General features: G+C 52.5%; 1 protein-coding gene across 1 annotated transcript in view, besides 3 other annotated features; it reads left to right on the top strand.

Moving 5' to 3' along the window:
• The window catches only part of RAB33A (RAB33A, member RAS oncogene family), a 74,248-nt gene that overhangs the window by 3,535 nt on the left and 57,898 nt on the right, over positions 1–12,815 (top strand). The window contains exon 2 of the mRNA XM_017029963.3: positions 3,104–3,228. Within this exon, the coding sequence (XP_016885452.1) occupies positions 3,199–3,228 (30 nt within the window). The 5' untranslated portion in view covers positions 3,104–3,198. The remainder of the gene's footprint in view (positions 1–3,103; positions 3,229–12,815) is intronic.
• Positions 6,500–6,599: an enhancer, noted in NCBI's record as "active region_29938". NCBI's record gives its function as "activates an Ori minimal core promoter by ATAC-STARR-seq in GM12878 lymphoblastoid cells {active_cell/tissue: GM12878}" and the evidence as "EXISTENCE:reporter gene assay evidence [ECO:0000049][PMID:35858748]".
• Positions 6,750–6,889: a silencer, noted in NCBI's record as "silent region_20995". NCBI's record gives its function as "represses an Ori minimal core promoter by ATAC-STARR-seq in GM12878 lymphoblastoid cells {active_cell/tissue: GM12878}" and the evidence as "EXISTENCE:reporter gene assay evidence [ECO:0000049][PMID:35858748]".
• Positions 6,879–7,088: a silencer, noted in NCBI's record as "fragment chrX:129255011-129255220 (GRCh37/hg19 assembly coordinates)". NCBI's record gives its function as "represses an EF-1alpha promoter that drives an FKBP-Casp9 reporter gene in an ReSE screen in K562 erythroleukemia cells {active_cell/tissue: K562}" and the evidence as "EXISTENCE:reporter gene assay evidence [ECO:0000049][PMID:32094911]".

Below are 12,815 nucleotides of genomic sequence, written 5' to 3' on the forward strand. Positions count from 1 at the left end.
TTGGGAAGGGCAGGAAGAGAGGTCAGCACTGCCAACCAGCTCATGGTGACTGGCCCTAATGCCTGCCAGCGCCCTGCAGCCCACGGCTTGTGGGAATCCCATAAGTTCCCACCTTCCCCAGCCTCTCAGAACTAACCACAGCCCCATGATCTGCGCGTTGCAGCCAAAGCTAGCCCCACCCCCCTTGATGAAAAAGGCTGACCTCACCTTGGGGAGCCATGGGCCACCTGAATGACCTTCCTTGCTGCCCTTCTCCTTCCCCACACGGCTCGCCGCTCTTCCACCTACCTGCTGGGTGAGCCCAAGCCAGGTGGGGCCAGCCAGGCTGAGATCACCACTCTCCTGACGACAGCCACACTGTTTCTACCAATGGCTCATTCCCTGACTTGGCAGGAATTCCCCTTCTCGAGTTGCCCATGGGTGCCCAGCCTGCACCATGAGCGGAGCACTCCGAGCCTTTCTCCTTCCAGCCCTGCTTCCCCCAGTCTCCAACCCTGACTGGGTGGTCTCGGGTCTCAAAACTTGAGTCCTGCAAGGAGCGGGAGGGGCCTCTGTGTTGCCCACAGCCCATGTAGTTCCACCTCCCTACTTGCACACTCAACTTGCCCTTCCACTTTAACAGCTTTCAGAGCCCCTCTTTGTCTCCTTTTTCTTTTTTTCCAGAGGCAAGGTCTTGCTGTATTGCCCAGGCTGGAGTGCAGTGGTACAATCATAGCTTGCTGCAGCCTCCAACTCCTGGGCTCAAGCGATCCTCCCTCTCTTTGGCCTCCGGGGTAGCTGGGACTACAGATGCACACCACCATGCCTGGCTAATTTTTGTGTTTTTTGTAGAGACAGGGTTTTGCCGTGTTTTCCAGGCTGGTCTTGAACTCCTGGGCTCAAGCGATTCTCTCACCTCGGCCTCCCAAAGTGTCGGGATTACAAACATGAGCCGCCATGCCTGGCCTTTATCTCTTTTTTTCAAGCAATGCCTGATAGCCCATGTTTTCCTGCAAATCATCAGGTTCTTTGGAGATGAGGTGGCTGATTTCTCCCTCCCTCTGCTCACTTAACTCCTTGTCCTCAGCAAATTCTATTCAAACTTGTGGGCAGAGCAATATACCACAACGCCACAGTTTCTGTGCCAGAGCCCGAACATACCACCATGGACACATACTAGAAAAGTTGCCTATTGGCCAGGCACAGTGGTTCACGCCTGTAATCCCAGCACTTTGGGAAGCCGAGGCAGATGAATCACCTGAGGTCAGGAGTTCAAGGCCAGACTGACCAACATGGGGAAACCCCATCTGTACTAAAAATACAAAAATTAGCTGGGCGTGGTGGTGGGCGCCTGTAATCCCAGCTACTCTGGAGGCTGAGGCAGGAGAATCACTTGAACCCGGGAGGCAGAAGTTGCAGTGAGCCGATATCACGCCACTGTACTCCAGCCTGGGTGACAGAGAGAAACTGCCAAAAAGAAAGAAAGAGAGAGCAGAGAGAAACTGCCAAAAAGAAAGAAAGAGAGAAAGAGAGAGAGAGAGAGAGAGGAAGGAAGGAAGGAAGGAGAAAGAAAAAAGAAAGAAAGAAAGAAAGAAAGAAAAGGAAAGTTGCCTATCGATTAGACTTTTGGAATGAGGAGTGTATTCAAAAGCTGGGAGAGAGGTTATGGTGTTAAAGGAAGCCTCCCACCTATAAATCTGAGAAACCCCCTATAATCCTTCCTATAAAGCCAGTACTCATTCTTCTGTTGCATTCAATAACCCCAGGTTTGCATCTGTTGGGTTTACATGACAAGGCCATGGGTATCCAAGTGGCACACAGAGATCTCCAAGTCAAGGTTGTGTCTGGTCAGCATAAGCAGTGTTTGTTCTAAAAAGCTTGTTGAATAGCTGCAAAACAGAATTCCTTTCTTCAAGCAGTGCCTGATAGCCCATCATGTTTTCCTGCAAATCACCCCAGGTCCTTTTTTTTTTTTTTTTTTTTTTTGAGACAGAGTTTTGCTCTTGTTGCCCAGGCTGGAATGCAATGGCGCGATCTCAGCTCACTGCAACTTCTGCCTCCCAGGCTCAAGTGATTCTCCTGCCTCAGCCCTCCTACCTCAGCCTCCCGAGTAGCTGGGATTACAGACGCCTGCCACCACGTCCAGCTAATTTTTTGTATTATTTTTATTATTTTGAGACGGAATCTCACTCTGTCATCCAGGCTCGAGTGCAGTGGCGGGATCTTGGCTCACTGCAACCTCCGCTTCCCGGGTTCAAGTGATTCTCCTGCCTCAGCCTCTCAAGTAGCTGGAACTACAGGTGCGCATCACCATGCTCAGCTAATTTTTGTATTTTTAGTAGAGACAGGGTTTTACTGTGTTGGCCAGGCTGGTATCGAACTCCTGACCTCATGACCCACCCACCTCGGCCTCCCAAAGTGCTGGGATTACAGGCGTAAGCCATCGCGCCTGGCCACCCCAGGTTCTGGAGACAAGGTGGCTGGTTTCTTCCTCCCTCTCCTCACTTAACTCCTTGGCATGTGGATCTGTGTGCAACATGGGCTGGTTATACCAAAGCTTTTCTTCACAGATGACGGTCTGTGGCCTTGGCCTGTACTGGGGATGGAGGTGGACTCAGGTTAAAGCACAGGCATGCAGATGAGAGGATGGAGTTGGTAGCCACTTCCCAGATCACAACTTTCATCTGCACCACCCTCATAGGCTGGGAGACATGCCTGACTGGGGCTCTTGGAAAGCCACTCGGTCCCTGCAGCCCACCCTGCTCAGTTTACAATCATTAAAACAGTTATACATTGGCCGGGTGCTGTGGCTCACGCCTGTAATCCCAGCACTTTGGGAGGCCAAGGTGGGCGGATCACGAGGTCAGGAGATCGAGACCATCCTGGCTAACATGGTGAAACCCTGTCTCTATTAAAAAATACAAAAAATTAGCCGGGCGTGGTGGCGGGCTCCTGTAGTCCCAGCTACGCGGGAGGCTGAAGCAGGAGAATGGTGTGAACCTGGGAGGCGGAGCTTGCAGTGAGCCGAGATTGTGCCACTGCACTCCAGCCTGGGTGACAGAGCAAAAGACTCCATCTCAAAAAAACAAAAAAACAAAAAACAGTTATACATGTCTCCTCCCAGCACCATGAAAGCCCCTACAAAACTTCAGAAGATCACCGGCTTTCAATTGTCTTCGAGCTGGACAGCAGCTCAGGAGGGCTGGCTGCCTGGAGGGGATGATGCCGACACAGGAGGCGCTGCTGGCTGTGAGTAGGTGCTCACCCTGAGCGTGGTGGCTGCTGGGAGGCACTACCCCCCAACCCCCGACAGCTGGGGAGTGGGCCTGTTGTTTGGGAAACAGATTCCGTGTTCTTCAGGAGGGCCCTCTGGGATGGTGGGAAATTTGGAGGGTGTGGGAGATGGAAAGACACAAACCTGTGGTTCATTTGAAAAGAAAAAAAAAAATGAGGACGAACTGGCTTTAGGCAGAGTCAGCAAATGAGATGAGGGCAAGCCCCCTGGAGTCTCTAACTCCACTGATCCCCAACTCCTACCTTGGAGCCAAAGCTCAGCCTGCAAAAGTCCCTGGGACCAGGGCAAAGAGGCAGGCACCTGCCCTGGGCTCCTATCAGAGGCATTGCAGCATTCAGGGGTTTGGGGCTTCTGTCCAGTGGTGCCAGAGTTAACCCCTCAGCCATGAATAACTGCTGGCCCAACACCTGTCCTGTGTCATCTCTTTGACCTCTGATGTGTCCTCAGAGTGAAGCTGGGGAGGCCCTGGCCTTAGCTGATCTCCCCACAGCCCGGTGCAGGCGGACCAAGATTGTCAACACAGGGAGGTTTTGCCGGAGTGAGCACAAAGTGAATTTCTGCAGGCCCTTGAGTGTGCTGGGGGATGGGGACACAAGTAGCCATCAAGCTGACATCTCTTCCTCAGATGGAGAAGAGACCCAGGGGAAGGGAGGGGCCTCCAGTCACACTGCACGGGGCTCTACGTATTATATAAAGTGAATGCCACTGCCCGGAAGTGTGCAAGCAGGTGGCAGTAAAGCCAGATTCAGGAGAGTTGGGGAGGGCACTTGGAGAGGAGAGATCAGGAGGGGCTCAGACTGGGACACCACAGGGGACCATGGGGCCTGGCCCCAGATATCCAGGACTAGGGATGAGGTAGGATGGGGGATTGTCTATGAGGGGAACTCATCAGCCCCCAATTTCATCCACTCTGCATCCTCCCAAGGGGCAGGCCTGGGCTGAGGTTTGTACCAGGAGGTAGACAATTCTGCTCTTTGGGATTGCCACAATCCACTGAGAAGTGAGGACAGGCCTGAAACATTTGCTAGACAGAGGCATAGCAGAGGCCCAGTGGAAATGCAGCCACTCTTCAGTTTCCCCACCCTGCCCCCACATCGGGGTTGAGGGTTGTTGTTGTTGAATGCAGAAAAATATAACAATGTGTATAAAGGTGCAGTATGAGTCACTTCACGGAATGTCTAGGCCCCTTTGCTGGCAGCAAACAAGCTTTCCAGCCCTCTTTTGAGGAAGCCATCCAACTCGGCGGCTGCTGCTGGTTTGTGTGTGTGAGGGTGTATGAGTGTGCATGTGGGTCTGTGTGCAACATGGCTCTCTGGGCCTTGCCTGCCTATGTGCGTGTCTGTGTGGGTCTCACAGATGTGAGTGAGGGCATAACTGTGTTCGGGGTGTGCATGTGTGTGCATATGCCTGTGTGTGTGTGGGCTCAAGTCTTGGATGTCGGGTCCCCTCGTGCATGCATGTGTGTTCGTGGAGGGCATGTGCACATGTCTGTCTGCAAAGCAGTATGGTATGTGAGCCTGTGCGTCTCAGGATGTCTACGTGTACATTTTTTCCTCGTCGCTGCCAAATTATCTTCCCATCTCTCCCCTCACGAAGAGAAGGGCTGACCGAGGGGAGCTAGCAGTCCAAGACGGAGGTGGCCAGGGACGGGAGAGGGGCTGGAGGGAAACCAAAGCAATTCCACTCTTCGGAGGAATGTGTCAGCCAAGGATGAAACTGAAACCGAGACAGCAGCTCAAAGGCACCAGACCCTGGGATCGTCCAGGGGCTTCGGTTCCTCCCACTCCCCCACCCCCTCCAGCCAGCTGTGGAGATTAGTCAGCCCAAAATTCCCATCTCTGCAGCCTTAACTTGGGGTTGAGTTTGTGATGCTGAGTTAGAACTTGGACCCGTGGTTAGCACGTGACCCCATTAGCTCCCATTATCACATTAACACAAATTAGTTTATCAGATCCTCTCCTGGTCACCTAGGGGGGCTTGGGGAAGAGCTCACCGCTCAGGTCCTGCTCTGGGAGAAGAAGCCAGCGCCGTGGCATCAGGAGAGGGCAGAGGCTGAGACTGCAGGTCAGATTGGGGACAGAAAGAGGGGGCAGGGGGACGTCAAGCTTTGCTGATCTGATCTTTCTCCTCGATGGTGCTCTGGGAGGAGACACCTTGGGGAGGGGTCTGGTAGAAAGGAGGGGGCTTCCAGGAATAGCTGGGCACCGCCCTGTAGGAAAAAGGCCCGGGCTCTGAGGTCTGGGCGGGAGACAGGCGGTATTTCTCCTGGCACACAGTGAGACCTGGGAACGTTTAGGATCCTTTGGATTCCCCCCGCCCCTTCCCTTTCTTTATGGGAAGTCTTTAGATGACTTTCTCAGATGGTTTTGCACACCCTGAAAGCAGGAGAACTGGATGGACTGAGAGGGGAGGAGAGGCACCCAGAATGCTAACACGGGGTGCAGCTTTTATTTCTTGGCACAGAAAAGAGGGACACACTCTGCCCATAGATTTTATATGTCAAGTTGTATCACAGAAGTGGCCACTCTAGCTTCTGGAAAGGGCGAGGTTGGAGCCCTCAACAACTTTTCCCCACAGGTTCTGGCCACAAGGTTATTTTTGTGCCTTGATATTCTCAATATGTTAACTAAACAGCCACCTCATAACCACCAAGCACCACGAGGATGTCCAAGGCAGCATCATGGCTTCTAGAGCTCAGGGCCTGCAAGGAGTTAGGACACGAAGTTCTATCTATGAAGACAGAGGTTGCAAGTTTGAGCCCCAGATAAGCCCTTAGTTTTTTGTTTTGTTTTTTTGTTTTTTGTTTTTTTTTCTTTTTTCCTTATATAGCTGCAGAAGACCGGATTGACAAGCACGGACCACCTAACTGTCCCTCTAGATCCGGACTTAAGCAGAGCCTCTACCTCTCATGTCGGCCGAGCCGAGTCTCAGGCTGCGCCCCAGCCTTGGCCACAGTCTGCATCCCCTGTGCTGGAGATGCGTTCTAAGTCTCATGGGAGCCAGGCTAGAGAGTGGCTGTTCAGGGAAACCCACCCCCAACGCCCCAGACACGACTCAAAGTTTCCATTCTACTGCCTGCGGGTCAAGAGCGCCATCCCCAGAGAGCAAAGACCGCCCGAAACTGCAATTCCTTTGCTGAAGTTAGGAGCCGCCCGGGGCTCTGTGGGGCCTGCGAGGTGGCTCGAGGGACTTTGCAGAAGCGCGCAGGAACCAGCCCCCGACCTGGGGCGCTCGGCCGCGGGGCTGATCTCCGTACTCTCCCGCCAGTGGGGTGGGAGCGCGTCCTTCTCTCGAGTTCGGGGACGGCCTGAGAAGCAGCGGGGGCTGGTGGCCTTTTTCTCGCTACCCCCTTTCTAGGCTCGCGCGCCTTCCAAGCCCGGATCCTGGTGGGGCTGAGCGTGCCCACCCGCCCAGCAGTGCGCCCGGGCGCCTCTGCAGCGCCACCTGCACGCGGAACGCGGCGGCGGCGGCGGGAACTGTCGTCCAAGGAGGAGCAGCAGGAGGAGGAGATATCGGCTCCTCTGCCCCCAGCTTTCCTCGCTGGCACGCGGCCTCCCTTCGCCGCCTCAGCCCCAAGCGGCCTGACCAGCCCAGCCCCAAGCCTTGTCCCGCGCCCTGCCCGGCGCAGGCAGCCAGCGCCCCGAGCTTCCACTCCTGCTGCTGCGCTCTGAGCGGCCTCCTGCCCTGGGCGCCTCTTCTGGGGAAGCAGTGAAGTCACACTGGGCCGGATCCGCTGACTCATGAGAATGAGACTCTTCCCCGGTCCCCGGCACACCCTTTGAAACTTCCCCTCAATCCTTTCTTTTTTTTCTTTTCTTTTCTTTTTTTTTTTTTTTTTGGCGGAGTCTCGCTCTTTCGCTCAGGCTGCAGTGGCGCGATCTTGGCTCACTGTAACCTCCGCACCCCACCCCCGGGTTCAAGCGATTCTCCTGCCTCAGCCTCCGGAGTAGCTCGAATTACAGGCGCCCACCACCACGCCCAGCTAACTTTTGCATTTTTAGTAGAGACAGGGTTTCACCACGTTGGCCAGGCTGGTCGCGAACTCCTGACCTCAGGTGATCCGCCCGCCTCAGCCTCCCAAAGTGCTGGAATCCTTTCTTTCTGCTCCCGCCTCCCCTCTTCCTCCCGTCCCGACAGGCGAACTGGAGCGGCTCTGGGCTCCCCGGGAAGGATTCGGTGGGGCAGCTGGGAGGGCGGTGGCGCGTGGGAGTCCCCGTGGAGATCTCCGCGCCCCTGTTCCAACCTGGCCACCTGTGCTGTTCTAGGGGTGCACAGGGAATGCCCAGGAGGGAATTGCATGTTTGCAAGATTGGGCAAAGCTCTCACTAAGGTATCCTTTTGTAATTAGCCACTGCATTCAGGGAGTGCCTGCCCAAGGGAAGGGGTCTGGGGATCCCCTTCCCTCTTCAGAACCTTGGGACTGCCTGAGGAGTTCACCTGGAAGCTGGTGGCTCTTCTTTAGAACCACCTGTTCCAATGAACAAGTGAGAACATGGGCTTGCTTCAGGCGGGATTTGGAACAGCTTCTGCCACTGAAGGGACAAGTGTGGAGTGTTCTGAGCCTTGAGCTGTTCTGGACCCCAGCAGCAAGTCGAGCCGATCATCTGAGAGGTCACTGGCCCTTTCTCCTGGAACTTGATAGTGGACCAGTTCAGGATAGGGTGGGGGTGACTTGGAGGCCCAGGAGTCCGGGTTTTCATACCACCCCCTTGTGACACTAATTTGAGGACAGTGGAAGGGATGAGAGGATTGGATTGTCTCATCACCTCTCCACTGGGGTGGGAAACCAGAATCACACCCTGGTTGCTTAGAATATTAGTTTCAACAAGGTGCCTAAGGGCCTCAGGCCCAGGCCAGGGAAGGCTTCAAGCTAGAGGAGCCCTGCTGGCCTCTGAAACACCTAAAGCTCCCCTTTCCTTCCAGAGGGGCATAGTCCGTAAGCATCCTTTCCCACCTAGCAAATCATGGTACTGGATTGGCATTGTTTGCCTGTATGCACTTTCCTTTTGTCTGTATGATAAGAGCCAAAGCTGGGTGTTGAAGTTTGCAAGCTTCCTGACTTGCTTGTCACTGCACTTCAGGGCACGGCTCTGCCAAGGCCATGGTCAATATGGAAATGGCCATGGACTAGGAGCAAGGGGGGGTGGGAGGTAGAAGGGCTGGTCTCAAGGCTTGGGCTTATATAGCATGAGGGAGCTTTTCTGAGCTCCTACCTTGGTATTAGGTTGAAAGCCTGGGTTATGATGGCTGTCCACACAGCAGCTCTGTAGGGCATGTTTGTTGGGGATTGGGAGCCTGTAGGAATGTATGTGCTAGGATCATGGCTGACAACAGTCCCACTGTCAAGCCTTCCTTGGGGGAAATTCTGGATTTGAAGCCAAACTTTAGCTTAGGGGCTGAAGGATGACCTGTTTCATGGAACCCAGTTTCGAGGCTGTGAAACTCTCCATGGAGAGGAAATAAGACAATGTACAATGTACAATTTCTAGGGGTCCCAGGTCCAAATGTAACTGGGTAGGTCAAAGAAAAATAAACTATAAACAAAAGCCATAAACTAAAAACAAAAACCAGCAAAACCTGTACATCTAGTAGAGCCAAAGGGACAGCAGAGGCATGGGGAGATGGCTGCCAAGGGCTTTGGGTTCCATTGGCAGCCTCTCTAGACCTTAGAGGTAAACAGCAACTGAGAGATGGAGAGATGAAGAAAGTCCCATGCAAACACTGAAAGACTGTTGCAGACAAAGGAGGTCAGGGCTGAAGGTGAGAGATGACCTAGTCTGTTCTCTCATTTTACAGATGAGGAAGCAGAGAGCTCAGAAACTAGTTGCCCAAAGCCATCCAGGCAGTGAGCGGCAGCACTGCGGCTGAAATCTGGAAGAGTGTTCTTTTCACTGTGCTCCTCTGCTTTGGGAGAAAACACACGAGCAGGGAGCAGCCCCTGGAACCCAAAGAGGAAACACAGGGAAAAGGGAAACAAGGGGTGGCCAGGCACGGTGGCTCACGCCTGTAATCCCAACACTGTGGGAGGCCGAGATGGATCACTGAGGTCAGGAGTTCAAGACCAGCCTGGCCAACATGGCAAAATCCCATCTCTATTAAGAATACAAAAAAAATTAGCATGGCGGCATGGTGGTGGGCACCTGTAATCTCAGCTATTCGGGAGGCTGAGGCAGGAGAATCGCTTGAACCCGGGAGGTGGAGGTTGCAGTGAGCTGAGATCACACCACTCACTACACTCCAGCCTGGGTGACAGAGGGAGACTCTGTCTCAAAAAAAAAAAAAAAAAAAAAAAAAAGGAAAACAAGAGGGGAAGACTGCAGAGATTCTGAGACGAGGAGGGAGAATGAAAGATCTGAGGAAGAGTGAAGAGGAAGATGTGTAATCTCTGGGTGAAAGGAATGTCAGCACCATCCTCTATGAAGCAGAGCACTCTCCATATTCTTTCCAAAGTGATGACAGAGAAGACACAACCATAAAACGGGGGAACTATGATTTGGTAGGTGAAGGAAAAGCCTAGAATAGGCTGGGCACAGTGGCTCATGCCAGTAATCCCAGCACTATGGGAGGCTGAGGTGGGAGGATCGCTTGAACCCAGGAGTTTGGGAACAGCCTAGGCAACAAAGTGAGACCCCATCTCTATTTTTAAAAATGCCTAGAATAGATAGAAGCAGAACAGTAAAGCAACTGGAGAAGCAATGAAGTTCCAATCGGAACTCACTTATCATACTCCCAGCAGTTAGGTGACACTGATAATCCCTGTTGACTTGTCTGTGGCCACCACTCGGTTATAAAGCCATTGAAGGAAGACAGGGACAATATATTACTCATCTTCCTATCTCCAGAGCCTAGTACAGTACTATGGCATACATTAGTTGCTCAGAAAATGTTAAAGAAATGAATACATTTATTTGTATATTATTTATAAATTCAATACCTATGCTAGATACTCCCTGAGAAGCATCTCTGTGTTGTACTGCAAATGCCAAGACATCCTAGGTGAGAACCTGCCTGGGAAGCCAGGTACCTCTGTCCCCCAACACAAGACACAACTCCTGGGCTTTCCCCAACCGAAACACAGACCTTGGAGGCTCCACCAGGACTAGGTAAGGTCTTCAGAAAGACACAGGACTAGGTGAAATTCACTGGGGTCTCTGCCTGATAGTGGTCCTCCAGAGGATATTTTGGCTATTTGTGTCCAAATTGTCAACCCCTTCTGGTCAAAGACCACCAGGAACACGGTCAAACAAGTTAGGTTTATTGCTCACTGCAGCAAGAAAGAAGGCGCCCCATGGGGGAACTATGCCATGCTTCAGGAAGAGGGCGCTAGAAAAGACTTAGAGGATTCAGGTTGGGTCAGGGGATTTGGAGGAAGGTTTAAGGAAGTCAGGCTTTGTTCTGGACTGGATGCTGGTGATTCTGTGATTGGATTGGGTATCTTATCAACTCAATCTTATCCAAGAGGAAGGCAGACAAGAGCGAGGCTGAAGCCACAATTGGTAAGGAAGCAGCAGCTACTCAGAAAAACCAGGATGGGGGTGGGGGTTGTTCGGTCATTTTCAAGGTTCAGGCAATCTTCATGTTTTTGTCTGTGTTCACATGATTATGGAGCGGTCTTGTTTTTGTCTCAATCCACCATGGTCACAGAGTAGCCTTGTATAATGCTGATGCCCTATGAATGTATGTTCAGCAGAACACCCAGATCTAGCTGTGAGTGCCAGGCCAGTTGGTAGCAACACCAAGTCCTGGCCGACAGTACCGGGCGAGCTTCCAGAGACGCCAGAGGCTGCTTTTCTTTCAGCAAATGTTCATTTTGAGAGGATCTCTGGTTTCCATCGAGGGCTTGGCAGTCCAGTATCTAAATATTTAGACCCTCCCTGTCCTCTTTGACCTAGTCACACCCATACGTAGAACCAGCCAGGCAGGGGAACGTCATCACTGGCTTGGGCTGAGTGTATCTGTGTGTGGTTTTGTGTACGCGTGTCTGTGCCCGCCAGGAATTCCCTGATAAGATGGGAAAGAGACCAGAGGCAGTCTTACTTCACCTCTGGGCCCAGCAGAACTTCCCCTCTGCCCAGAAAGCAAGGCACTGGGAGCGAGTCCCAACAATCTCTAGGGCAGCAAGGGTGCCTGGCTTTAGGTGGAGTCAGGGAAGGACGTACAGAAGGGATATGGCAGCAGCCAAACTGGAGAGGAGCGGGAAAGGGAAGGGGCAGTGGGGGAAGGGAGGGGAGAGTTCCTTTGTATAAATGGGTCTCTTGAGAAGCTGCTGATTTTCCTTCAAGGAAGCAGCCTGCAGTAGGTCACTGTGGAGTCCCACCCCCAGCCCTTTCTGTTTAAAGCCTCTTGTCTCCAAAACAGGCCCTGTTGATTAGAACAACAACAAAAAAAATCACAAATGTTGACCTCATCCTTCACTAAGAGGCTTAATCTAACCCCTTTCCAATCAAACTTCCTTCCTTCCCTCAGTTCCACCTCTCCACCTTTAAAAACATTAGGACACCCCCTGCTGTGGTTTACAGGTAGCCAGGCAGAGGTTAGGACCATCACTAAGTGGTGCCAAGGACCATCTGATACCGTTTATGAAATGGCCAAGGAAAGCGAGGTTGAAGTCAAATGGGTGGGCTCTAGATGACTGCTCTTTGGGCAAAGCCTGCCTCTTCTTCCCAGGGTGGGACTAGCCTTGCACCACACTGTGGTGTGGCCCAGCTTATCACAGACCAGCTATTGAGGGCCAAACCTCGACTGGCACTGCTTGTCTGTGGAGTCAGAAATCAGACCCTAGAGGCCAGTGGCTCATGCCTGTAATCTCAGCACTTTGGGAGGCCGAGGCAAGACAGATCACCTGAGGTCAGGAGTTCGAGACCAGCCTGGCCAACGTGGCGAAACCCCATCTCTACTAAAAATACAAAAATTAGCCGGGTGTGGTGGCGTGTGCTTGTAATCCCAGCTACCCGGGAGGCTGAGGCAGGAGAATCGCTTGAACCCAGGAGGTGGAGGTTGCAGTGAGCTGAGATCACCCACTGCACTCCAGCCTGGGCAACAGAGCGAGACTCCATCTCAAAAAGAAAAAAAAAAAGAAAAGAAAGAAAGAATTTGGACCCCAGGATCCTCAGGGGCTTGGGCAGATTAAATGCATCCTGGGTAAGTGGCAAGTTGTGACAGCTGAGTGAAGTGGTGATGATCTGAACATCCTCCCATAAACAACCTGAATTACAGAGATCAGAGGTTACAAGACAGAGGTGCATTTTTACAGTCAGCCCTGTTATCTAGCATCATCCAGCCAATCAACCAAGGACTTGCTCAGCACTTCACCAGGGTGCAGCAATATGGTCCCCATCCTGAAAAGAAAACATGGGCTCTGCTCTGGGACAGGTGACAATTCCTTTAGAATGACTTAAAGAACAATTACACTCAAAGGTGCTAAGTGCAACTGGAGTTCAGAGAGAAATCATGCATGGGCACTAGTCCAACTGGTACCATGCCACCAAGGCAGGACTTGATGTAGGCCTTGAAAGATGAGTAGGATTTGGATAGATAAAGG

The sequence above is a fragment of the Homo sapiens genome, chromosome X (assembly GCF_000001405.40).
Source record: "Homo sapiens chromosome X, GRCh38.p14 Primary Assembly".
Classification (NCBI taxonomy): Eukaryota; Metazoa; Chordata; class Mammalia; order Primates; family Hominidae; genus Homo; species Homo sapiens.